This window comes from Homo sapiens, chromosome 17, assembly GCF_000001405.40.
Source record: "Homo sapiens chromosome 17, GRCh38.p14 Primary Assembly".
Classification (NCBI taxonomy): domain Eukaryota; kingdom Metazoa; phylum Chordata; class Mammalia; order Primates; family Hominidae; genus Homo; species Homo sapiens.
The window spans coordinates 62,808,499-62,836,404 of NC_000017.11; the positions used below are offsets into that span (position 1 = coordinate 62,808,499).

The 27,906-nt window shown below is 43.0% G+C and overlaps 1 long non-coding RNA gene across 1 annotated transcript, besides 1 other annotated feature; it reads left to right on the plus strand.

The window, feature by feature from the left end:
- Positions 1-3: 3 nt before the first annotated feature.
- On the plus strand, positions 4-27,873 carry MARCHF10-DT (MARCHF10 divergent transcript). The gene is made up of 2 exons (NR_135634.1): positions 4-453; positions 26,515-27,873. It is a non-coding gene; the product is annotated as an MARCHF10 divergent transcript (long non-coding RNA).
- Positions 16,647-17,383: an enhancer, noted in NCBI's record as "H3K27ac-H3K4me1 hESC enhancer chr17:60902506-60903242 (GRCh37/hg19 assembly coordinates)". NCBI's record gives its function as "activates a minimal SCP1, AML or CMV promoter by ChIP-STARR-seq in naive H9 embryonic stem cells {active_cell/tissue: H9 hESC(naive)}" and the evidence as "EXISTENCE:reporter gene assay evidence [ECO:0000049][PMID:30033119]".
- Positions 27,874-27,906: the final 33 nt, after the last annotated feature.

The following is a 27,906-nucleotide window of genomic DNA, read 5'->3' on the forward strand; positions in this document are numbered from 1 at the left end:
GGTGGGCAGAGAAGAGATGCCCAAGGAGGAGGCGGTTGGCTTTGTCTGGGTGCCCAAGCCCAGACCCAGATATCCAGGCCTCTGCTCCCTTCCCTGAAAGGGTGCTGTGCTTCATAAAAAATGAGATTAGAAAACGAGAGAGGAAAATATTTTTAATGGAATCAGGGAATGTGAAAAGCGGTACATGCGAAGAGGAAAAGATACTGCAGTCCTGGAGTTCGACCTCTGCAGAGGACATCTGGAATGCTCTGGTCCAACACGAAAAAGAAGAAATAAGCGATGAAGCCAGGCACCCAGTCAGTGGCAGAACCGACATTAGAGCCCAGGCCTCTTCGTAATCAGTCGTCTTCACCCCCTTTCCAAGGAGAGAGGTGCTTAGAGGCCTAGACCAGGCCCTACAGCTTTGGAGCCAGGGCACCAGAACCGCTACTACCCTCACCTTCTCTGTGCCAGGTTGATTTCTTTCTTTTTCTTTTCTTTTCTTTTCTTTTTTTTCTTTCTTTCTTTTTTTTTTTTTTAGACAGAGTCTTGCTCTGTAGCTCAGGCTGGACAGTGCAGTGGCACGATCTTGGCTCACTGCAACCTCTGCCTCCGGGGCTCAAGCGATTTTCATGCTTCAGCCGTCCGAGTAGCTGGGATTACAGGCATGCGCCACCACACCCGGCTAGTTTTTGTATTTTTTTTTTTTTTTTAAGTAGAGACGGGGTTTCTCCATGTTGGCCAGGCTGGTCTCGAACTCCTGACCTCAAGTGATCCGCCCGCCTGGGCCTCCGAAAGTGCTGGGATTACAGGCATGAGCCACCTTGCCCGGCTTTGCCGGGTTGATGTCTGTCTGTGGTTCTCATGGGCAAAGATGACTCCCCTATTTACTTTGCATATTTAGGCTCTCAACTTGTCAACTGATGTCAAGTTAGGGTATTTTTGATTGAGTGGAGAGTAAGGTAAAGGAAGAATAGAAATTCTTGGAACTTTCATCAGTGCCCGGAATCCCTAGGTGTCTGTGGTTTGACCGTCTTCTCAACACCTCCCCTTCCCCCCATTCAGTTGGTGCCAAGTCCTTGGCAGCGTCACATTCTTCTTTCTATTCTTATCACTCTAGTTTTGGGCTCCATGACCTAGTTTTGGGCTCCATGGATTATTCTGAGGGCCTCCTGGTCACACCCTGGGCGCCTGTCCTCCACACCCTATCTTCACCATTTCCCCCATCCTATAAGCAGCCTACATCTAATGTTGCTGGCCCCCTGCTTAAAAAGCCCTGAAAGGTTCCTCACCGCCTGTGGAATGAAGTCCAAACTCGTCACTATGACTTTCCCTGTGCCCTCCCCCACAGTTTCCTTTCTTGGTTTTTCCCCTTCATCACTTCTTCACTCATACTTCAGCCAGATGGGACTATGTGTTACACACTGAACATTTTTCCTTGCCTTCACACCAGCTTCAAAGACATATCATGAGCTGGGCAGAGTCTAGACAAATGTACTTAGCTGAAGTCTTTCCACTGGGCACTTTCCCATCTGAACTTCGCTGGTCCTCCAGCAGACCCTAGGATCTTTTCATCTCTAGTAGCCCAGTCCATATTCTGTTCTTGTTCTCAGCTGATTATCAAGTATTCCTTAGTAAAGCATTAACTGATAATTGAAGTATTAACTGATAAGGATGTAACCTAAGAACTTGCCTCATGGTTTTTGCCTTTCAAAAGGATATGCTTTGGGCCAGGCATGGTGGCTCACGCTTGTAATCCCAGCACTTTGGGAGGCCGAGGCAGGGGGATCACCTGAGGTCAGGAGTTTTGAGACCAGCCTGGCCAACATGGTGAAACCCCATCTCAACTAGAAATACAAAAATTAGCCAGGTGTGCTGGCAGCCACCTGTAAACCCAGCTACTCAGGAAGCTGAGGCAGGAGAATTGCTTGAACCCAGGAGGCGGAGGTTGCACTCCAGCCTGGGCGACAAGAAACTCTGTCTCAAAAAAAAAAAAAAAAGTTTGGATGCGCACACTGGGTTGAAACTATAATAGTGAAATGATAGGTAGGGAGCTTGTTCTGTTGGCGCGAGGACCCACCTCAAATAAAAATAACAGAGGAGGAAGTTGAAGCCCAGGTTCTCACCTTGTTGAAGGTAAGGGACATGACCAGAACATATGGTAAGTACCAGAACCAGGGTTCAAAAACAGGGCTTTCCATCTCCAGTAACTTGATGTTGCCCACTACTAAGAAAAGCACCTTGGTACTTCCTGTACCCAGACAAGATCTATTAAAATAATACTATCTATCTCAAAAGCTTGCTGTGGGAATTAAATGAGAGAGGACAAGCAAAGCATTTCACATCATGCTTGGCACATAGCACTCAATAATTGGTAGCTTTGCTTTATAAGGCATAACTTAAGATTTTATTGCATGTGAATGTTAACCGTAAATATTTAAAGATTTTTATTTATTTTTAATTTTTTAATTTTTTTTTTTTTTGAGCCAGAGTCTGTCACCCAGGCTGGAGTGTTATAGCGCGATCTTGGCTCACTGTAACTGCCGCATCCCAGGTTCAAGCGATTCTCCTGCCTCAGCCTCCTGAGTAGCTGGGACTACAAGCACGTGCCACCATGCCCAGCTAATTTTTGTATTTTTAGTAGATACAGAGTTTTGCCAGGTTGACCAGGCCAGTCTCAAACTCCTGACATCAGGTGATCCACCCTCTTCGGCCCCCACAAAGTGCTGGGATTATAGGTGTGAGCCACTGTGCCCAGCCTAAAGATTTTTAAATAACAAGGTCTGGAGAAGTCACTTCATATCTCAGCTTTAAACTCTTCCACATGTCAAGTGTTCTTGAAAATTAAGTTATATGAAAAAATCATGGTGCCTTTGAAAGAGGGTAATAGTGCCCAAGGTCAGCTCATAAAAAGCTATAGAGCAACTCCAACTTTAGTGTTTAATGAGTAAATTTAAGCTAGGCATGTAAATTACAAATAAGATTAGTTCTGGCATTAAAAAGCAAAGTCCTTAGGAGGAGAAATATTAAAATGAAGAAGAAAAACTTCTCCTGGTTGGGGAAAGGATCCTACTCTTCATTATTTCCTGCACAATGTTCCTGGTAGAGATGAATAAGTAAACAAAAAAACTTAAGACTTAAGTGGATGGTAGATTCTAATGCTCCCTCCTGCTGATCTAACAAAATACCTTAGACTAGCTAATTTGTAAACAACAGAAGTGTATTGCTTACAGTTCTGGAGGCTGGGAAGTCCAAGATCAGGTCATCTGCAGATTTGGTGTCTGGTGAGGGCTCACTGTGTTTTGTATATAGCATCTTCCCTTTGCATCCTCATATGGTGGAAGGGACAAACTCCCTCAAGCCTCTTTTATAAGGGCCCTAATACCATTCATCATGGTGAAGTCCTCATGACCTAGTCACCTCCCAAATGGCCCGCCTCTTAATACCACTACAATGGGAATTAAGAGTCAACATGAATTTTGGAAGGACCTAAGCATTCAGACCATAGCAAGCATGAAAAAGTTCTTTAATTATATCTAAGAGTTCTGCAAAGAACAACTTCAAGTATAAAGTTTCAAAAGTAGACTGTGTATTAAGTTTCAGAAATAACACTTTTGAGGGAAATATTTAATGCAAAGAGTAAGCTGTGCAGAGGAATAGGCATACATTCTAAGTCTCCCAAGGTTTTTGAGACAGGGATATCCAACAGCTTCATGGACACCTGGCCCAGCTACTCACTTGAGCTGGAGCACCCCACCCTCTATCTGCCTAATATTTTCTCTTCCTAAGAGAGAGAGAGAGTCTAACTAAAAGAGTCTCTTTGTAACTAACTATTCAGAAGCTCTCCTATTGGGCATAGAGTTTTATGCCAAGTGACTTCAGAAGCAGATGGCCTCCCTCAGATACAACTTAAACTTGGTCATTTTTGCCTTGGTCATGGGATCTCGCCATGACTAATGGGTTCCTGTTCTCATCATTGAGGCCAGTGTGGTGTTGCCTTCATCCATGCACACAGCATGAACTGCGGCAGTTTGTTTGCAAAAAGAATCTCTAGGAATAGCTTTCCTGAGAAGGGAACTGTGGACATGTGAGTCCTTTAGAGCTCCATGGGTTCTCCTCCAGCATGCCATTGTGCAGGGGCTTTCCCTGATTCATTTTCAAAACTGGCTAATGACTTATTGGGTATACCAGGGGCCGCTGTGACATTCTGCATTCATCTTGTAGCTGTATTTGGCCAGACTGTGGGTATGCAATGTGATAATCTCTCAGTGTCACTCATTAAAAGTCATCCTTTATTGATGTCATCAGATGGTTAGAGAGCTTGGTAGGCTTTCAAGGTGAGCCTTCTGGATTATGTACATACAGTTGGCCCTTAAACAGCATGAATTTGAACTGCCCAGGTCTACTTATACATTGGTTTTCTTCCACCTCTGCCACCCCTGAGGCAGCAAGACCCACTCCTCCTTTTCGTCCTCCTCCTCAGCCTGCTCAGCATAAAGACAATGAGGATGAAGGCTTTTATGATGATCCACCTCCACTTAATGAATAGTAAATATATTTTCTCTTCCTTATGATTTTTTTTGACAGGGTCTTGCTTTGTTGCCCAGGCTGGAGTGCAGTGGTACGATCTCAGCCCACTGCAACCTCCACCCCCCAGGCTCAAGTCATCCTCCCACTTCAGCCTCCCAAATAGCTGGGAACACACGTGCATCACCATGCCTGCCTAATTTTTTTTTTTTTTTTTTTTTTTAGAGATGTGGTCTCCCTGTATTGCCCAGGCTTGTCTGAGAATCCTCAGCTCAAGCGATCCTGTCGCCTAGGCCTCCCAAAATGCTGGGATTACAGGCATGAGCCACCACACCCAGCCCAATAATAGCCATTCTAAATAGGGAGAGATAATATTTCATTGTGGTTTTGATTTGCATTTCTTTGATAATAGTGATGTTGAGGACTTTTTATATACCTGTTGGCCATTTTTATGTCATCAGAGATGGCTATTCAGCTCATTTGCCCATTTTTAAGTTGGAGATATATCTCCAACTTAAATGTGTGTGTGTATATATATATATATCCAACTTAAATGTGTGTGTGTATATATATATATATATCCAACTTAAATGTGTGTGTGTGTATATATATATATATATATATATATATATATATATATATATATATATGGCTGTTGTTTGAATTCCTAGTATATTCTGAGTATTAATTCCTTGTCAGATGAATAGTTTGCAGGTATTTTCTCTCATTCTTCAGATTGTATCTTCACCCTGCTGATTGTTTCGTTTGCTGCACAGAACGTTTTTAGTTTGATATAATCCCATTTGTCTATTCTTATTTTTGTTGCCTGTGCTTTTGAGGCATATTCATAAAATCTTTGCCAAGACCAATGGCTTCAAGTGTTTCCTCTATGTTTTCTTCTAGTAGTTTCACAGCTTCAGGTCTTATACTTAAGTCTTTAATCCATCTTGAGTTTATTTTTGTATATGGTGTGAGGTAGGGCTCTAGTTTCATTCTTCTGCATGTAAGTAACCAGTTTTTCTAGCACCATTTATTGAAGAGACTGTCCTTTCCACAATGTATATTCTTGGTACCTTTGTTGAAAATCAGTTGGCTGTAAATATGTAGATTTATTTCTGGGTTTTCTGTTCTATTCCGTTGGTCTATGTGTCTCTTTTTATGCCAGTACCATGTGCTTTGGTTACTATAGCCTTGAAGTATATTTTGAAGTCAGGTAGTGTGATGCCTCCAGCTTTGTTCTTTTTGCACAGGTTTGCTTTGGCTGTTGGGGTCTTTTGTAGTTCCATATGAATTTTAGTATTGTTTTTTCTATTTCTGTGAGGAATGTCATTGGTGTTTTGATAGCAATTGCATTGATTCTATAGATCACTTTTGGTAATATGGTCATTTTCACAATATTAACTCTTCTAGTCTATAAACATGGGATGTCCTGTGAGATGTCCAAAGACATCCCATGTTCACAGACTGGAAGAATTAGTACACACAGACACACACACACACACACACAAATATGTACATATTCCGATGGAGGTTATTGAAGACCCAGGATTTGGTCCTTGATTTGTAGGATCAGAAAATTCACTTTATTTAATTCAGAACTGACCTCTTTAGAAATTGATTCTTAATAACCCCACTCAGAAGAGACCATTTGTTATCCACCTGACCAAGTTATTATTTTATCTCAGAGAATGAAGCTGGCAGGCTGACCCTGGTCATATGCTTGAGGTACTTCCTCCTGGTGGAAAGGCATTCCTAGGAGATCAAATTAAAGATCTGAAGATTTGGTGAATATTAAATTACATTAAAGGGAATTGAATGTCCTTTTTTTTTTTTTTTTTTTCCCCGAAACAGACTCTTGCTCTTTAGCCCAGGCTGGAGTACAATGGCGCCATCTCAGCTCACTGCAACCTCCAACCCGGGTTCAAGCAATTCTCCTGCCTCAGCTTCCCAAGTAGCTGGGATTACAGGTGCCTGCCCTGTAATTAGCATGCCTGGCTAATTTTTGTATTTTTAGTAGAGACGGGGCTTCACCATGTCGGCCAGGCTGGTCTCGAACTCCTGACCTCAGGTGATCCCCCCACCTCGGCCTCACAAAGTGCTAGGATTACAGGTGTCAGCCACTGCACTCGGCCTGTTCTTAAGGGATACATCTAGCAGATTGACGAGGCCTTAACGAATGACCTTCCTCCCCTCAAAGGACATTTCAGTCTGGATGACTGATTTGGATTATTTATGTCAAAGTTTTTGGAGACTTTTACCACATCTTTCTCTCAGGTAACTGCCGTTTTGCTGAACTTCAAGGGACCATTTCTCTTATGCCATTAACAGCATAGTTTGGAGTTGAGAAGACCTAGGTTAAAATCCTAGCAGTGGGATTTGTTGTATCATAGCGAACAATTCTCATCACCCTTTGAATTTCGAGATCCCTGTAGTTAAAAGTGGAAATAATCAGAGCCTTCTCAATGGATTGTCATGAGGATTAATGAAATAGTGTATGTAAAGTTTCTGGCATTGTGCCTGACACAGTAGCTGCTCAACAAACGGTAGCTATCATTATTGCTTACATCATGTACATAGATTTCATTCTCCTTGCTGAGATGAGACACCCTAAAGTACATCACCCATGCATTTATAAAGCATCTCTAAAAGCTGTTACTTTGGCCGGGCACAGTGGCTCACACCTGTAATCCCAGCACTTTGGGAGGCCGAGGCGGGTGGATCATTTGAGTTCAGGAGTTCAAGGCCAGCCTGGCCAACATAGAGAAACCCTGTTTCTACTAAAAATACAAAAATTAGCTGGGTGTGGTGGCGGGAGCCTATAGTCTCAGCTACCTGGGAGGCTGAGGCAGGGAGAATTGCTTGAATTCGGGAGGTGGGGGTGGCAGTGAGCCGAGATTGTGCCATTGCACTCCAGCCTGGGAGACAGAGTGAGACTCTGTCTCAAAAAATAATAATAATAAATAAATAAAAGCTGTTACTTCTTTAAAATGCTACTGATACCTTTGTGGTTAATTTTATATTGATTACTTTTTATGCTGAATTTCAGAAAGTGACATTTTATGATCGCATCTCTGATTTTTGTTAGAGATCATCTAATTTCATGAAACTGAGAGCGTATCCAGTTTAGGGCTTGCAGCCATCCATGAACTGTGTGAAATTTAGTAATGTCTGTTGGGCTTTCATAGGGCAGATATTTGAGATCCAGTTCTTTTGTAGAATGAAGTAGACTCCATTAGAGACTGGCAAATTCCCTATAATTAATTACAATTTTTTAAAAAAAGCATGTCCTCTGGGAGATCCCTTAGAATTTTCCTCACTTGTAACTGTAGCTGATCTATTGTGCTGTTTTACAAAGAGGGGGCAAACTCATTAAAGTTTTTGGATCCTATAGTACTGAAATATTACTCAAAAGTTCAAATGGGCTTTGATTTATTTATCTGTTTTGGAAGCTTCAGACTTTTCAAACCATTATGGCCGTTAATGCATCTGATACAAGATTGGATGTGATTATAGGAACTTTGAGAACATAAAACATACTGCTTTTTTGCATTTCTGAAAAATTCTTACCAAAAGGAAGAATTTGACTTCTGTCCAGAAGGAGTATCTGATTTGTTTGGACTCTGGATAAACTCGAGCTGTGCATATTTGGCCAAGAGTTTGATTTGTGGACTGATCATCGAGCCGTGGGCAAGACTCAGGCTTCAGAAAGCGATGTCAGTGTCAAGAATCCCACATGAACATTAAATATGCTTCTGGACAGATAAACACTCGAGCCAAAAAAAAAAAAATCCATCTCATCAAGAGGGCAGAGGAACATAAGCACTGAGCAACTTCTGAACCTTCAGGAAGTGGACGCTACTCCACAACATTTTGTTTTTGTTTTTGTTTTTGTTTTGAGACAGTCTTGCTCTGTTGCCCAGGCTGGAATGCAATGGTGCGATCTTGGCTCACTGCAACCTCCGCCTCCCGGGTTCAAGCAATTCTTCTGCCTTAGCCTCCCAAGTAGCTGGGATTACAGGCATGCGCCACTATGCCCAGCTAATTTTGTATTTTTAGTAGAGAAAAGGGGACCCCCATACACTGTTGGTGGGAATGTAAATTAGTATAACCACTGTGGAGAACAGTTTGGAGGTTCCTCAAAAAACTAAAAATAGGACATATGATCCAGCAATCCCACTGCTGGGTATATATCCAAAAGAAAGGAAATCAGTATATTGAAGAGATATGTGCACTCCATGTTTATTGCACCACTGTTCACAATAGCTAGGATTTTGTTTTGTTTTGTTTTGAGACAGAGCCTTACTCTGTCACCCAGGCTGGAGTGCAGTGGCACAATCTCGGCTCACTGCAACCTCCGCCTCCTGGGTTCAAGCAATTCTCGTGCCCTAGCCTCCTGTACCTGGGACTACAGGCACCCAGCACCACACTTGGCTAATTTTTGTATTTTTAGTAGACGCGGGGTTTCACCATGTTGGCTAGGCTGGTCTCGAACTCCTGGCCTCTAGGGATCCACCTGCCTCGGCCTCCCGAAGTGTTGGAATTACAGGTGTGAGCCACTGTGCCAGGCCTCTGACAAAGCTAAGATTTGGAAGCAGTCTAAGTGTCTATCAACAGATGAATAAATAAAGAAAATGTGGTACATATACACAACGGAGTGCTATTCAGCCATAAAAAAAGAATAAGATTCTGTCATTTTCAGCAACATGGATGGAACTGGAGATCATGTTAGGTGAAATAAGCCAGGCACAGAAAGACAAACATTGCATGTTCTCACGTATTTGTGGGATCTAAAAATCAAAACAATTAAACTCATGTACATTAAGTGTAGAAGGATGGTTACCAGAGGCTGGGAAGGATAGTGGGGAGGGGGTGGAAGGAAGGAGGATCATGTTAATGGGTACAAAAAATAGAAGGAATAAGACCTACCATCTGATAGCACAACAAGGTGACTATAATAACTTGTCAATTAATAATAACTTAATTGTACATTTTAAAATAACTAAAAAAGGGCCGGGCATGGTGGCTTATGCCTATAATCCCAGCACTTTGGGAGGCCGAGACAGGTGGATCACGAGGTCAGGAGATCGAGACCATCCTGGCTAACACGGTGAAAACCTGTCTCTACTAAAAATACAAAAAATTAGCTGGGCGTGATGGTGGGTGCCTGTAGTCCCAGCTACTCAGGAGGCTGAGGCAGGAGAATGGCATGAACCCGGGAGGCGAAGCTTGCAGTGAGCCGAGATCGCGTCACTGCACTCCAGCCTGGGAGACAGAGCAAGACTCCGTCTCAAATAAATAAATAAATAAATAAAAATAACTGAAAGAGTATAACTAGATTGTTTGTAACACAAGGGATAAATGCTTGAGGGGCTGGATTTGCCATTCTCCATGATGTGATTATTACACATCGCATGCCTGTGTCAAAACATTTCACGTACCCCATAAATATATATACCTAATATGTACCCACAAAAATTAAAAATTAAAAAAATTTAAAAAATAAATAAACACTGACTGACAAATGCTAATGAGTGCCAGGACACTAATAGAGTGCCACAACAGAGAATATTGGGAGGAGCAGGGAGACCCTATTTACACAGGTGGTCAAAGATGACCTCTCTGTGTGAGACCTGAAGGATGAAGAGAAGCCAGCCTCCGGGGGTGGAGAAAACAGGACTGAGATGATTGTAAGGTGAGAGAAAGCTCAGGGGATTCAAGAAAGCTTAAGGTGTGGCTGGAAGACTATTGTGAGGGAAGCCTGGTGAGGTTGTGAGAGTTGGAGTCAGGTTTTATTCTAAGCACAATGGAAAGCCATGGAATGGCTTTAAAGTGTATGTGCATTCCTCTGTGCGTACGTATGTGCATGCACGTATATGCGCGTGTGTGTGTGCATCTGATATATCGTCTGGAGCATATTGTAGAGACCCATGAGAAGGTTCCCCACTAGAATTGGTAGTTATGACCTCGTGATCCCTACTACAGCCTTTGATGAAACATCAAAATGTCACTCAAGCATGAGCTTGTCCATCAGCATGAGACATGATCAAATATGAATTATCAAAGAAATTTTCCCCAGTTCTGGGACACACACATGACCAGATGTTCCATGTTGGGTAGCATAGCCTGATTTTTTTTTTTCTGATGCTGAGTTTTGCTCTTGTCGCCCAGGCTGGAGTGCAACGGGCGCGATCTGGCTCACTGCAACCTCCGCCTCCCGGATTCAGGTGATTCTCCCTGCCTCAGCCTCCCAAGTAGCTGGGATTACAGGTGCATGCCACCATGCCTGGCTAATTTTTGTATTTTTAGTAGAGACAGGGTTTCATCATATTTGTCAGGCTGCTGACCTCAGGTGATCTGCCCGTCTCGGCCTCCCAAAGTGCTGGGATTACAGGTGTGAGCCACCGCACCCGGCCGCATATCCTGATTTTTAACTTCCAGCCTCTTGTTCCAATGCAATCCTCATAATGTCCCTTACTGATGTCCCTCTTTGTTGCATCCTGGGTCTTGCTCCTTTTACTCCCCTCTCTTTTCTTTCTCTTTTGATCTCCGCCTGTCCTTCCTCTTCTCTCCTTTCCCCTCCCCTCTCCATCCTTCCTCTCCTTCTCTTCTCTCTGCCTTTCTCATTAAGAGTCAAAGTTCCTTGCCAAACCACAGCTCTTAGGTTTCTATTTTCCCGAACAGATTTCTTGGCTGGTTTTACAGACTTTTCAATTGGTTCTCTCTTCTGCTTCCATGTAGTCTCTTCTCTGTTTCCAGTCACTGCTCCTAGACACTCTCCTCCCCTCCCTTAACAAGCCTAACCCCTAGGTTACAAAGTTTGAAAAATGTCAACAGGAAAAAGGGCTCTTCCTGTAGCCCTGTAAAAAAGAAGACGTGAAGGAGTTAACCTCGAGCGACATCAGTCTCCAGCCATCAGTACAGTGAGGCAGTTCTTGAAAACCAGACAGAACAGAAGGTATCACTGTGCAACGTCCCTTCTGTGGCTCACGGCGCCCTCTGAGTCAGGATAATGAGAGAACATTCTTAAAACATGACCTAACCACGCTCTGTCCTCAAACAAATTCCTGGATGTGTGTGGAGTAAGCTCTCCCAGCAAGCCTGAGCACAGACGTGCGGGGCGGGCTTGTTAGCACTCTTCTGAGTTGCTCCCTTTACAAAGCCACCTTCCCAGCCAGTTCATTTGTATTAAAGTAAACTTTTAAAAATAACCAGTCAGTCTGTCCAGCAAACATGCTATGGGCCTCTTATGGCTGTACTTTCATAATTTTATATTGTGGCGACTGGGTCTCTGTCTTGGGGGGTATTTGGGGGCCTTTGACTTCACACTGTAGCAGGAAGAAGTTATGCAAAATTCTCGTCAGATATAGAAAAAAGGAAACAGGATATCATTCATTTCCAGAATGGAGCAGAATCACAACACAGTGATTGTGATTGCAGAGTGTCCTTTATTTCACCTACACCTGAAGTTGTGTGTGTGTTTGTGCGTGTGTGTGTTTAATACAGGCGGCTTATCTGAGTGATTTTAAGAAATTAATTTAATTGAAAAATGATTAAATTACAAAGAGAGGAAAAAGCATTTGGTTGGCATTACATGGGGTCAGAGGCCACTGCTAATGCAATATTTCATCAATTGCCTCATTGCTATTCTTTCAATGATGTGATTTAGTTTCTCAAATAGCTCTTATCCTGGCAGGCTTGCCTTAGATACATTGTACAGAGGCCTTATAATCATTACAATGTATTTACTTAAACATTTTAAAAACAATTAAGCACTTTTAGATATATTTGTGTATGTGCGTGCGTGCATGCATGCGCGTGTGTGTGTGTGTGTGTGTGTGTGTGTGTGTGTGTGTGTGTGTACATGTCCACAGAGGGATTTTATAAATGTCCGGACAAGGGTTCTGAGTGAACACTAGGACAAGTGTTGAATTTATCCACTGTAGTGCCCTTCATGCATTTCAAAGAGCTCCATGCAGACTCATGTTAAGCTTTTTTCATGCCCTTTGAATATACCACTATCTCCCTTTAATACACTGAAGAAACAAGAGGACAAAGAGTCTCCCTGTGTTCCTTATCCAAGGCCACACAACTGTTGCTGGAACCTTGAGCTTTCTGAGTGCCAGGCACTTACTTGCAGTATATCGAACGCTGGGATATGGTGGAGGTTTAGTTTGTTAAAAAGTGTGATAGCCCTATGATTGTGGGAAAAAGTTTTGACATACTTTGTTTTTTATTTTAATGCAGATCAAGTCATTATAATGGTCTTTCTCTTAGAAGGCTACTGAGGTTGGGTTAAACAGTAACAGGGGTGCTTGGGAAAGGGTAGAGCAACATTTTGGCAGCATATGAATGGGTATGTGTGCACATGGGTGGTAATACCGCATGCCCTGACCTGTCCTATGCCTCTTCCCCTTCACCTTTGTTTCAAAATGTTGTGTCCAGCGTTGAAAAATGCTGGCACAGTTTGATGCAGGTGTTTGCAACCTCCTTCACCCCAAATGCCATGGTGGTGGGGATGCTAGGCTCTCTTAGCATCCCCCTCCTCGTGCTGCATGAGGTGGGAAGGCAAAATCATGTATTCATTCATCAAACGCTGATCAAGCACTTAAGTGCTAAGTACTGTTCGAGGTTCTGCGGATTCACAGAGGAATAATATTCGGTCTTTGTGCTAGCGGGGAGGTAGGAAAGTAAACAAGGCCATAGAGTAAGCTCTACGATAGAGGTAGATGTGGGCCTGGGTGGTGGTGGGGGCACAGGGGAGATGAAGGAGAGGAAAAGGAAGGTTCTCACGGTGAGGGATGGTGAAAGGCCTCCAAGAATTGCTGGAGGCCCCATTCAGTGGTGGGTGCTGGCGCGTCAGTTCCCTCTGAGAGGAAGCATTTCTCAGCAGCACCAAACACTGGCTAGACCTTGAGCTAGATGACGTTTGTTGTCAACTCTCCCAGCCTTCCTGTCTGCGCCCTTTCCCTCCCTGTCTGGAAGGAAGCTCCCAACAGCCTTTTCAAAATCTGCTTAGGGCAGCTATGCATAATCAATATTTATTGAATCAAATTGATCTGAAAAGTATTCGCACTACGGTATAAATGGCTCATACAGGGTACACCTGGGCACATGTACCTGGAAGCCTCAAGCTAAAAGAGCTTTTGCCAGCTCAGCAGGAGAGCTTCATAGTATGTTGGAGGCTCCTACACCCGAGTGCACATTTTCTGGATGGTTGCCCACTTTTTCTGTACTTTAAGCTGGCCCTACTTCCAAGCGCCCAGCCTTACATGTTTTCCCTTCCCTGCCCACTATTGTGGCTATATGATAAGGCAGGATGAGGGCCGATAACTGCTAGTCTCAGACCTTTTGGCTAGAAATGCCACAAGACTACAGCAACAACTGCTTTGAAGCCTGGGAGAGACCAGTGATGAAAAACAAAGTTGCGGCCAGGCACAGTGGCTCATGCCTGTAATCCCAGGACTTTGGGAGGTCAAGGCGGGCGGATCACTTGAGGTCAGGATTCAAGACCAGCCTGGCCAACATGGCGAAACCCTGTCTCTACTAAAAATACAGAAATTAGCTGGGAATGGTGGTGCATGCCTGTAATCCCAGCTACTTGGGAGGCAGAGGCAGGACAATCACTTGAGCCCAGGAGGTTGCAGTAAGCCGAGATGGTGCCACACACTCCAGCCTGGGTGACAGAGCAAGAAAGAAAGCAAAAGTAAAACAAAGTTGCAGTGAATGGGACTGGACGTTTAAATGTCTCTTTTAAATGCACTCACTATTTTGGTTCATGGTTTACCACTCGTATGTTTACTGCATGAGGGCAGAACTGGTGTGGCACATACATTGAAATTCTACCTCTAATGTGAGATAGAAAGCAGGGGGAACTGACCAGGAACCTCCACCTTATTCCCAGTCATAGCGTTCCACTAGGATTCTCCCATGGACCATATTTCAGTGTACAAAATTGTCATATTCACAGAAAGTACCACATTTGTTTCCCCAACCATCAGGGTTGTATAGTTACAGTCAGTGCCCTGTGCAGTAAAGACTGGCAATTGGATGTTTTTCAGACCTTCAACTTAGTTCATTATGAGAAGCTGTCTAAAAAAACAAACAAACAAGCGAACAACAAACTACAGTCTTCAATTAAAGGTTCAGAGGCCAGGCACAGAGGCTTATGCCTGTAACCCCAGCACTTTGGGAGGCCAAGGCAGGCAGATCACTTGAAGTCGGGAATTCAAGGCCAGCCTGGCCAACATGGCGACACCCTGTATCTACCAAAAGTACAAAAATTAGCTGGGCATGGGGTGGTGCTCGCCTGTAATTCCAGCTACTTGGAAGGCATGAGAATCACTTGAATCACCCAGGAAGCAGAGCTCACGGTGAGCCGAGATTACACCACTGCACTCCAGCCTGGGTGACAGAGCAAGACTCTGTCTCAAAAAAAAAAAAAAGAGGTTCAGAAAGTGGACACCTTTTAGCACTATCTAATAGAAATATGAGTCATATAAGTAATTTCAAATTTCCTAGGAATAATATTCAGAAAAGTAAAAGGAAATGGGTGAAATTCATTTTAATAACATATTTTACTAAACCCACTAAATTGAAACATTGTCGTTTCAACATGTAATGAATATTTTTTATTTTTAGAATCAGAGCCTCACTCTGTTGCCCAGGCTAGAGTACTGTGATGCAATCATGGCTCAGTCAACCTTGAACTCCTGGGCTCAAGCCATCCTCCCACCTTAGCCTCTTGAATAGTTGGGACTACAGGCCTGTGCACCACCACACCCAGTGATTTATTTTTATTTTTATTTATTGTAGAGATGGGGTCTCGCTAGGTTGCCCAGGCTGGTCTGGGACTCCTAGGATCAAGCAGTCCTCCTGCCTCAGCCTCTGGACTACAGGTGCATGCCACCTTGCTCAGCTAATTAAAACATTTTTTTTTTTTTAATGGAGACAGAGTCTTGCTCTGTCACCCAGGTTGGAGTGCAGTGGCATGATCTTGGCTCACTGCAACCTCTGCCTCCTGGGTTCAAGCAATTCTACCTCAGCCTCCCAAGTAGCTGGGATTACAGGCACCCGCTACCATGCCCGGCTGATTTTTTGTATTTTAGTAGAGACAGAGTTTCACCATGTTGCCCAGGCTGGTCTCGAACTCCTGAGCTTGGGCAATCCACCTGTCCTGGCCTCCCAAAGTGCTAGGATTACAGGCTTGAGCCACCACGCCCGGCCAACACTTTTTTTTTTTTTTTTTGAGACAGAGTCTTGCCACCCAGGCTGGAGTGCAGTGGCACGATCTCAGCTCACTGCAACCTCTACCTCCCAGGCTAAAGCAATTCTCCTGCCTCAGCCTCTCAAGTAGCTGGGATTACAGGTGTGTGCTACCATGCCCAGCTAATTTTTGTACTTTTAGTAGAGATGGTTCCAGCTACTTGGGAGGCTGAGACGGGAGGATAGCTTGAGTCTGAGAGGGTGAGGCTGCAGTGAGCTCTGATTGCGCCACTATACTCCAGCCAGGACAACAGAGTAAAACATTGTCTCAAAAATTAAAAAGAAAAAGAAAGAAAATGAAAAACAATGACCACACCTCTATATGTGTGTGTGTGTGTGTGTGTTTGTGTGTGTGTGTGTGTGTGAGAAATGAATGTTCTTTGCTGGCAATCTGACATACAGGAGAAATTAACAGAGTTAATGGCTATTCTGGCATCTGCTCCCAAGCCACTGAGACCACAGAATTAGAGGATGGGAAGGGACCTTGGAGATCTTGTTAACTGTGTCCTGGACCCTCATTGCAAGGAATCAGATTCAACTGGCCTAGGGAGGGGTCTAAGTATCAACATTTTTAGACGTCCCCTAGGTGATTCTAACGTAGGGGCTGGGCTCTAAATGCAGAAACATCCCTTTTGTTTTATAGGTGAAGAGACAGGGGCTAACTGAGGTCAGTGACTCATCTTACAGCTTGTTAGAGGCAGAGTGAAGCCCGGAATCCGGATATTCTTCTCTACCCAGCTCACACAGAGGACATTTCCATAATACCTTCATCATGGGTCATTCTCTTGCTTAACCCCAGAGTTGCTCTCATTTTGAATTGAGACACATTCCTCCGCTTAACCTAGCTTAGACACAAACTTCAACAAACTTCTCTGAACCCTTACTTGCCAAGAAAATCTTCAGATCAGTGAAAACATTGAAGTGATTCTGGTCCGGGACCATGGCTGTAAATGCCTCCCATTTTAGACCCAACTGGGACCTGACACCCTATACTGAATATAGAGTTTAATTAGAGGGTACAGGGAGGGGCCCCAAAGAAGCAAACACTTGAGTCTGATGAGTCTCATTGATGCACAGCCTAAGCCAGAGTGACCCATTAACAGGGTCTCACACTCAGATATATCTGAGTTCAGAGCAGGTAATGCATGTGAGTAGTGTGGGTTAGGTGGGGGCTCTGGCCCAAGCTCCTCCTAGCTATGCGGGGAGGATGCAATGCAAGTCCAGTCCTTCCAATTTCTCAAAGAAGTCGCAAATTTGGGTTTTTGTTTGTTTTGGTTTTTGTGAAAAACCCTGTTTTGTGAATGTTGGCAACTAGTTTGATTTTTAGAAAAACACTGTAAGAGTCAAATAAAACCCACTCGTGAGCTATATTCTGCTTGTGAGGCTTCAGAATACATCTTTTAGATAAGTCCAAGACTTTTTTTTTTTTCAGATGGTCTCGCTCTGTTGCCCAGGCTGAAGGGCAGTGACACACAGATCACTATAGCCTTGACCTCCTGGGCTCAAGCCATCCTCCCATTTCAGCCTCCCGAGTAGCTGGGATTACAGACATACACCACCAAGGAATATGACTTCATCATATTCAATATCGAGTTTTACTGGTTTCTAAAATGTTGGCCTAATACCATCATGTAGGTTGAGCATCCCTAATCCAAAAATTCAAAATCCGAAACTTTTTTTTTTTTTCTTTTTTTGAGACAGAGTCTTGCTCTGTCGCCCAGGCTGGAGGGCAGTGGCACGATCTCAGTTCACTGCAAGCTCTGCCTCCCAGGTTCACGCCATTCTCCTGCCTCAGCCTCTTCAGTAGCTGGGACTACAGGAGCCCGCCACCACGCCCGGCTAATTTTTTTGTATTTTTAGCAGAGATGAGTTTTCACCGTGTTAGCCAGGATGGTCTTGATCTCCTGGCCTCGTGATCCGCCCGCCTCGGCCTCCCAAAGTGCTGGGATAACAGGCGTGAGCCACCGCGCCCGGCCCAAAATCCGAAACTTTTTGAGCGCCAGCATGACACCACTAGGGGAACGTTCCACACTCGACGTCATGTGATGGGTTCAGTCAAAACATTGTTCCATGAACAGAATCATTAAAAATATTGAATAAAATTACCTTCAGGGTATGTGAATAAGGTGTATATGAAACATAAATGAATTTCGTGTTGAGACTTAATTCTATTCTCAAGATAGCTCATTTTGTATACAGAAATATTCCCAAATCTGAAAAATATCTGAAATTCGAAACACTTCTGATCCCAAGCATTTCAGATAAGGGATACTCAACCTGTCCTTACCTTGCCTTAGACATTGTGAAACTGATGACAGTCAACACTGGTACCAGAAGGAAAAGTAATTCAGAAGTCCCACCTCTGTTCCCCTTTTAAATGTTACTCATTTTCTCACTTTCCACTTTATTATTTATTTTGGGTGAGGCACTTGTGATTTTTTTTTTTTTTTTTTGAGACAGGGTCTCACTCTGTCACCCAGGCTGGAGTACAGTGACACGATCATGGCTCTCTGCAGCCTTGACCTTCCCAGTCAAGCTCAGGTGATCCTCCCACCTCAGCTCCCGAGTAGCTGAGACTGCAGGCATGCACCACCACACCCGGCTAATTTTTGTATTTTTTTTTTTTAAGACAGGGTTTCACCAGGCTGCCCAGGCTGGTTTCGAACTCCTGGGCTCTAGTGATCCACCCACCTCAGCCTCCCAAAGTATAGGCACGATTCCACGACTCCCAGCCATAAATTTTCATAATGAAGTTGAAATTAAAGATTATTACAGTTCATAAGATCCATATAATTTATTTCAAAGTTCTTTTTGAAGTTGTGAGTCAGGCTTACTAGCATCACCATGGGATAGATACTAGTTCTGCTATACACAACTATGTAAGGAAAAATGTTTTCATTCACTGCAAAATGAGACGGAAGCTTACATTGTAGCACTGGGGCAACCTCTTAGCCAATGAAATGATATTGCAAATAAAAAGCAAAATTACTCTTACCCACATTCTTCATTTTAAGAAAACACCCTTGGATAAGTACATAGAGTGAGAGTCCTTGATTTGAACTAATCTAAGGTATTAATAATAACAGGTGAATGCTTAGATAATGATTTAAGAGTTGATGCTAATTTACCCTTTAATTGGAAGTATTTATAAAGCAAACATAAATGTAAGTTATTTGTGAAGCATATAAGAGATGAACAGAAAATATGCATGTCATTTGTATTTTAGTTATTCTCCCTACACATACATAACCTTGATTTTTGCCACAGTTCGTTTTTCTACATGTAAAAAACTTAATTAGATTGTGTGCTTGTGACAATCAGTTTCAAGTATATTTCTGTGAGAAGCTCCACTGTCCCCAAATAACCAGAGGTAGGTAACAGTTTCTGACAAAAGCTTGAGGGAACAGGATTAAATGATAATTACAGCGATTATATTTTATCTAAAACCTTCAAGTCTCTGGAAAGCTGCTTGGTTTCTATTTTGGGCCATGCTGCCCACATATCTTAACGACAGAATTTATGCATAATTTTGCTCTTCCTGTTTTTATCTCTGTTTGGGTGTATTTATTACTTCATATGTGGTGATGCAAGGCTCATTGAAAGGTCCATTTATATCCTGGTTATCTGCATGGGGATCTAGCTGCTTTTCTCTCGCTGTTTCTAGAACTCTCACTGTAACATTCAGATTTGCTGGCACCCAGCCTTTTCCAGCACATATACATTCCGCTCCCTCAGTGACTCTATTTATGGGAGTCTATGTGATTTACTCAAGACTAATAAAGACCGTGTAGAAGGATGGGTCATGGATTTATCCATCCATGGAATTTTAGCGCATTCAGAGGGAGGTTTATCTTCTGTTCTTCCCCCGCTACCCCCCAATTTAATTAAAACAACAAAAAAGGCGTTAGTCCAAATGAGGGACAGTTGGCAGATCTGCGTTATTCAACTGGAGGGACTCCCTAGTTTCTGATGCTTGGAGATGGACAAGTAATTACCTCCTGTCTGTGACTATTTTCTACCAGGCTAAGCCCAATGTTTATTGTAAACTATCTGCCATTAAAAGCTGTAATAGCAAGCCTTATGTTCCCACACCATAAATTTGACTTGCAGTGTTTTTTTATTTACCTTCATGTTTTATTATATTCTTTGGAATGTTTCATTTTAAAGGAAGATAACGGGAGAATGAAAATTGAACAAATTCCAAATTCACGCTTGAATAAAGATATGCTTAACACACATACTTTTTGCATACACCCAGACCTCTGATGGCCACTTTCTGAATATTGGCAGCTTCTCTGTAACTATTAGAGGTAGTTGCTATAAGTGTATCACTTGTTAAATGGTCCTGAAAGTAGCCTAAAAATGAAAGTTTAAGCAGACCACATGGGCTGAGGGCAGTGATTCTCAAACTTTTGCATCTCATGAACACCCTTATTCGAAGACCCCAAAGAGCTTTTGTTTGTGTGATTATATTTATCAATACTTACTGCATAAGAAATTAGAGCTGAGACATTTAAAAATGCTTATTTATTTATTCGTTTAAAAATAACAATAGGGCCAGGCACGATGGTGGCTCATTCCTGTAATCCCAGCACTTTAGGAGGCCGAGGTGGGAGAATCACTTGAGCCCAGGAATTTGAGACCAGCCTGGGCAACATGGCAAAATCCCGTCTCTACAAAAAAATTTTTAAAATTAGCCAGGTGTCGGCCGGGCACGGTGGCTCACGCCTGTAATCACAGCACTTTGGGAGGCCAAGGCGGGTGGATCATGAGGTCATGAGATCGAGACCATCCTGGCTAACACGGTGAAACTCTGTCTCTACTAAAAATACAAAAAATTAGCCGGGCATGGTGGCAGGCGCCTGTAGTCCCAGCTACTCAGGAGGCTGAGGCAGGAGAATGGCGTGAACCCGGGAGGTGGAGCTTGGCAGTGAGCAGAGATCATGCCACTGCGCTCCAGCCTGGGCGACAGAGCGAGACTCGGTCTCAAAAAAAAAATTAGCCGGGTGTCTTGGCATGCCCCTGTGGTCCCACTACTCAGGAGGCTGAGGTGGGAGGAAAACCTGAGCTTGGCGGGGGTCGAGGCTGCAGTGAGCTGTGGTCACACCACTGCGATCCGGCCTGAGCAACAGAGTGAGACCTGTCTCAAAAAACAAACAAATGAAAAAACCCCAAACCAATAAATCATTATATGTTAACATAAATACCATTTTTAATGAAAAATAACTATTTTCTGTAGCAAAAAAAAAAAAGTTTAATAAGAAGAGAGAGATTGTTTTGGATTCTGTTTGACTTTAGAAGACAGCTGGAGTCTCATATCTGCTTCTTCAGTCTGCTGTAATATGTTGCTTTGGTTGAAATATATGAAAAAAACCTGCCCCTACACAGATATGTAGTTGTAAAAGGGAATATTTTAACAGCCTTTTCAAATAATTATGGATATTCTGCTTTGATCCCAGACCAAAACTTGACAAGTGGAGTTTTTTTTTTTTTTGAGATGAAGTCTTGCTCTGTCACCTAGGCTGGAGTACAGTGGTAGGATCTCAGGTCACTGCAACTTCCACCTCCCAGGTTCAAGTGATTCTCCTGCCTCAGCCCCCCGAGTAGCTGGGACTACAGGTGTGTGCCACCACGCCCGGATAAATTTTGTATTTTTAGTAGAGATGGGGTTTTGCCATGTTGGCCAGGCTGGTCTTGAACTCCTGACCTCAAGTGGTCCACCTGCCTCAGCCTCCCAAAGTGCTGGGATTACTGGTGTGAGCCACCACTCCCAGCCAAAATAAACATTTCTGTTTTTTTTTTTTTTTTTTTTTGGACAGGGTTTCCCTCTATCACCCTGGCTGGAGTACAATGGTTCAAGTGATTCTTGTGCCTCAGCCTCCCAAGTAGCTGGATTACAGGAATGCGCCACCACTCCTGGCTAATTTTTCTTTTTTTTCCTTTCTTTCTTTCTTTTTATTTTATTTTATTTTATGCTTTTTTAAAGCAGAGGCAAGGTTTCACCATGTTGGCCAGGCTGGTCTTGAACTCCAGACCTCAGATGATCCACCCGCCTCAATCCAAAGTGCTGGGATTATGGGTGTGAGCCACCACGCCCAGCAATTAAGTGTTAGTTTCTTAAAGGTTAGTTGCAATGTGGAAATTAAAATCCTTTCAGTGGATTTTTTTTTAAACTAATAGATTTTATTTTTTTTTAGAGCAATTTTAGGTTTAAAGAAAATGAGACCATTTGGAGGGTTCTTATGTGCCCCCTTTCGCCACATTTTCCTATATTAACATCATGCATTAATGTGGCACATTTGTTAACAATTGATGAATCAATAATACTGTACATGATTATTAAACTAAAGCTCATAGTTTACATTAGGATTAATTATTTGTGATATACAGTTCCATGGGTTTGGACAAATGTATAATGATATGTGTCCACTATTACAGTAACCTATAGAATAATTTTACTGCCCTAAACCCTCCCTGTGCTCCTCCTATTCAGCCCTTCTCTTCTTCCCCTGAACCCTTGGCAACCACTGATCTTTTGACTATCTTTATAGGTTGCCTTTTCTAGAACATCATATACACTTGACCTTTAAACAGCAGGAGTTTTAACTGCACAGGTCCTCTTTCACAAGATTTTTTTTTGTGTTGAGACAGAGTCTCGCTCTATCTCCAGGCTGGAGTGCAGTGGCGTGATCTCGGCTCACTGCAACCTCCGCCTCCTGGGTTCAAGTGATTCTCCTGCCTCAGCCTCCCGAGTAGCTGGGACTACAGGCGTGCCACCATGCCCAGCTAATATTTTTAGTGGAGATGGGGTTTCACCATGTTGGCCAGGCTGGTCTTGAACTCCTGACCTCAGGTGATCCGCCCATCTCGGCCTCCCAAAGTGCTGGGATTATAGGCGTGAGCCACTGCACCTGGCCAAGATTTTTTTCAATGAAAGTTACACAGAATGTGCTTGCCTCTCCTGTCACCGCTCCCACTTCCTCTACCTCTTCTGCCCCTGCAACCCTTGAGACAGCAAGACCAACCCTCTTCTTCCTCTTCCTTCTCAGCCTACACAGCGTGAAGACAAGGATAAAGACCTTTATTTTATTTATTCATTTTTTTTTAAGGTGGAAGTCTTGCTATGTTGCCCAGGCTGGAGTGCAGTGGCATGATCGTAGCTCACTGCAGCCTCAAACTCCTGGGCTCAAGGAATTCTCCCACCTCAGCCTCCTGAGTAGCTGGGACTGCAGGTATGCACTACCCTCTAGGCCAAGGATAAAAACCTTGTGATGATCCAGTTCCACTTAATAAATAGTAAATATATTTTCTGTTCCTTTTGATTTTCTTTTTTCTTATTTTTTAAAAGACGGGATCTAACTCTGTTGCTGAGGCCGGAGTGCAATTGTACAATCTTGTCTCACTACAGCCTCAACCTTCTGGGCTCAAGCAATCCTCCTGCCTTAGCCTCCCGAGTAGCTAGGACTACAGGTGCGTGCCAGTCCACCTGGACAATTTTTTTTTTTTTTTTTTTGTAGAGAAGGGGTCTCACCATATTGCCCAGGTGGGTTTTGAACTCCTGGCTTCAAGCAATCTTCCTTCCTTGGCCTCCCAAAACGTTGGGATTCCAGGTGTGAGCCACTGCCCCCAGCCGGCCTTTCCTTATGATTTTCTTAATATTTTTTCTTTATTTTAAGAATACAGTATATTATATATATATATATATTAGAAAATACATGTTAATTGACTGCTTATGTTACCAGTAGGGCTTCTGGTCAACACAAGACGATTAGTAGTTATGTTACTGGGGACTTAAAAGTTATACTCAGATTTTCAACTGCACACCTACCCCCCTGTGTTGTTCCAGGGTCAGCTGTAATTGGAATCATACAACACATAGACTTTTCAGATGGGCTTCTTTCACTAAGCAATATGCATTTAATGTTCCTTTTTGTGGATTGAATGCTCATTAATTTTGCTCACTGACTATTCCACTGTATGAATATACTACAGTTTATTCATTCACCTTTTGAAAAATATCTTGGTTGCTTCTAGTTTTTAGCAATTATGAATAAAGTTACTATAAACATTTGTGTGCAGATTTTTGTGTGGGCTAAGTTTCCAACTCTTTTTGGTAAAACCCTAGGAGTATGATTGCTGGGTCAGATGGTAAGAATACATTTAGCTTTAAAAGAAATGTAAACTGCCAAACTGTCTTCAAAAGTGGCTGCACTATTTTGCATCCCCACTAGCAATGAATGAGAGTTTCTATTGCTCCACATCTTTGCCAGCATTAGGTATTAATAGGTTTTTGGATTTTAGCCATTCTAATATGAGTATAGTAGTATCTCATTGTTGTTTTAATTTGCAATTCTCCAGTGACATATGATGCTGAGTATCTTTTCATGTTTATTTGCCATCTGTGTATTTTCTTTCTTTCTTTTTTTTTTTTTTTTTTGAGACAGGGTCTCACTCTGTTGCCCAGGCTGGAGTGCAATGGCACAATCTCAGCTCACTGCAACCTCCGCCTCCCAGGTAAAAGTGATTCTTCTGCCTCAGCCTCCCAAGTAGCTGGGACTACAGGTGCGCACCACCACAAAGGGCTAATTTTTATTTTTAGTAGAGACAGGGTTTCACCATGTTGGCCAGGCTGGTCTTGGACTTCTGACCTCAAATGATCTGCCCGCCTTGGACTCCCAAAGTGCTGGGATTACAGGCGTGAGCCACCATGTCCAGCCTACCATCTGTATTTTCTTGGGGGAGGTAGCTTTTCAACTCTTTTGCCCATTTTTAAAATTTGGTTGTTTGCTACTGCTGAGATTTAAGGTTTTAAGAGTTCTTTGTGTATATTGGATACTGGTCTTTTATCAGATAAGTGTGCTATTTAATTTTTGTTTTCTTTTCTTTTTTGAGACAGTCTCACTCTGTTGCCCAGGCTGGAGTGCAGTGGTGAAATCATAGCTCGCTGCAGCTGTGAACTCCTAGGCTCAAGCCATCCTTCTGCCTTGGCCTCCTGAGTATCTAGGACTATAGATGTGCACTACCATGCCTGGCTAATTTTTATTTTATTTTATTTTTTATTTTCAAATTTTTCTGTAGAGATAAGTCTTACTATGTTGCCCGGACTGGTCTCAAATTTCTGGCCCCAAGAAATCCTCCTGCCTTGTTATGTTTTTTTTCTTTATCAGATATGTGTTTTGCAAATATTTTCTCCCAATCTGCAGAGAAAATATGTGGCTTGTCTTTCCATTCTCTTAAACCACTGGATCTTTCACACTACGACCGTTTGGTGCCACTACCCTGATGCCTGCTAAACCATCAGTGTTTGTGTAACATCACACTGTTGTTTGTGTAATATCAGTGCAAATTGTGTAACGTCACAACAAACACATCATTGTTTGTGTAACATCAGTGCAAATTTTAATACAAAGGAAAGGCAAAAGACATCTTAGTATTATTGTGAAAATAGTTTTAATTTTGCGGACATACGATCAAGGCCCATGGACCATACTTTGAGAACTACTGGCCTAAAGCAAACAAGGATAGCCTGTACTACTCTTTAGTTCAGGCCTCAGTAAGACCAAATAGAATAAGAAATTTGAATTTTACAAATATGTAATGTTAATTTACTTTTCTGCAAAAAGAGGTTTGGAAGACACATAAGATATATAATTCATTGAACTTGGTGTTCTAATTCATTAGGAAGAGCCCATTTTGTTTACATATTTTTTGCTGGTGATTTTTGAGAGAATATAATTTTTATTTATTTATTATTTATTTATTTATTTATTTATTTATTTATTTTTTGAGACGGAGTCTCATTCTGTTGCCAGGCTGGAGTGCAGTGGTGTGATCTCAGCTCACTGCAACCTCCAACTCCCTGGTTCAAGCGAGTCTCCTGCCTCAGCCTCCTGAGTAGCTGGGATTACAGGCACGCACCACCACGCCCAACTAATTTTTGTTTTTTTAGTAGAGACAGGGTTTCACCAGGTTGCTCAGGATGGTCTCAATCTCCTGACCTCGTGATCTGCCTGCCTCCCAGAGTGCTGGGATTACAGGCATGAGCCACTGCGCCTGGCCTATAATTTTTATTTTTAAAGAAATACTTTGTATGTGTATGTGTGTCTGTGTGTAAATATATCAAGTAGAGTGTATGGGCCAATGAATGTCTCTCTCTTTTTTTTCTGGAGTGCAGTGGCATAATCATGGCTCACTACAGCCTCAAACTCCTGGGCTCAAGTGATACTTCCACTTCAGCCTCCTGAGTAGCTGGGATGACAGGCGTGCACCACCACACCCAGCTAACTTTAAAATTTTTGTAGAGATAGAGTCTATGTTGCCCAGATTGGTCTTGAACTCCTGGGCTCAAGCAATCCTCCTGCCGCAGCCTCCTAAAGTGCTGGGATTACAGGTGTCAGCCACCGTGCCTGGCCCTAAATGTCTCTTAATGGCAAATAATAGGTAGATAATGCCTAGTAACGGGTTTATGATATATTTGTCTATATAGACAAACATATAGTACCCCAAACTTTTTCCTTTTTCTCCTAGAAAGAAAAAGCATATTTTCTTTCCTTCTGGTAGATGTACTTTTCCCTATTCCTTCCATTAAGTACAACCCAAAACCCTGAATATTATATATTAAACAAACATGAGAAGACTCTGAAAGGGGGGGAAGAAAAGGAGGGCAGAATGTCTATGGACTGCAGGACCTGAAGAACAACATTGCAGTGACTTACTTTGTTTTTATTTTTGACTCATATACACCAGACTTGGAGTTGAAAAAGGTAGCAACCTGGAAATGCCAACAGGAGTAGTCGAAAAAGCCCAACCAAAGCCTGCTGTCTTTAGCCAAAGAACCATGGAAGAGGCAGCCTAGCAAGATAGAGAAGTTTTAAACATCACTATGGATTGCATTGTGTCTCCCCAAAATTCATGTCGAAGCCTTAACTCCCAGTGTAATTGTATTTGGAGATGGGGCCTTTGGGAGATAATTAGGGTTAGATGAAGTAATGAGAATAAGGCCCTCATGATGGAATCAGCAGCTTTATAAGAAGAATGATGGGGTTGGGTGCAGTGGCTCACATCTGTAATCCCAGCGCTTTGGAAGGCCGAGGTGGGAAGATCACTTGAGGTCAGGAGTTCAAGACCAGCCTGGCCAACATGGTGAGACCCCGTCTCTACCAGAAAATACAAAAATTAGCCGGGCATGGTGGTGCACGTCTGTAATCCCAGCTACTCGTTGGGATGAGGTTGAGGCATGAGAATCGCTTGAACACAGGAGGTGAAGGTTACAGTGAGCCAAGATTGTGGCCTGCTGCACTCCAGCCTGGGAGACAGAATGAGACCCTATCAAGAAAAAAAAAAAAAGAGGAGTGGAGAGAGATCATTCTCTCTGCCATGTGAAGACACAGTAAGAAGCTGATCATCTGCAACCCAGAAAGAGAGCCCTTGCCAGGAACCAAATTGGTTAGCATCTTGACCTTAGACTCCCTAACTTCCAAAACTGAGAAACATAAATGTCTGTTGTTGAAGCCACCAGTCTATATTTTGTTGTAGCAGCCTGAGAAGACTAATACAGACAATAACTGCTCTACTCAGCCAAACACCACAGCAAACGCTTTGGCCCCCACCCATGCCAACAAAGGCTGAGTGGGGAGCCTACGATTCCACCCTTATGAGGCTATAATGCGGCACCTCACCCACCAGGGTTGTGTCAGAGAAGGCCAAGTAGAGAGTCAATAATAAGTCCACTCTCCACCTGGCCCCCATGGTATCAGTGGAGACCATGTGGGAAGCCTACACTTGCACCCCCAAAAGGCAGTAATGAAGTGCTCCTCTTCATTCCTGCTCAGTGGTATCAGAGTAGGACTAGCGGAGAGTCTAGACTTTTACCATCATCCAATGGTAATAAGGCAACCCCCATCTCAGTGTCAGTGGAGACCACCTGGGGAGCCAGAATGCCAACATCTGCCCAGCCATAATGAGAAGTGTAACTAAGATGCCAACAGAGGCTGAGTGAACCTAGTCTTCTACCTGCACCTGTCAGTAATGGGTTGGTGTCTTTCCTCCTCTGCTGGAGTAATGTCAAAAAAAGCCAGCTAAAATAAAGAGTTAACGTAAAATTAATAGCCTTATAAAAATGTCCAAGTTTCTTTCTTT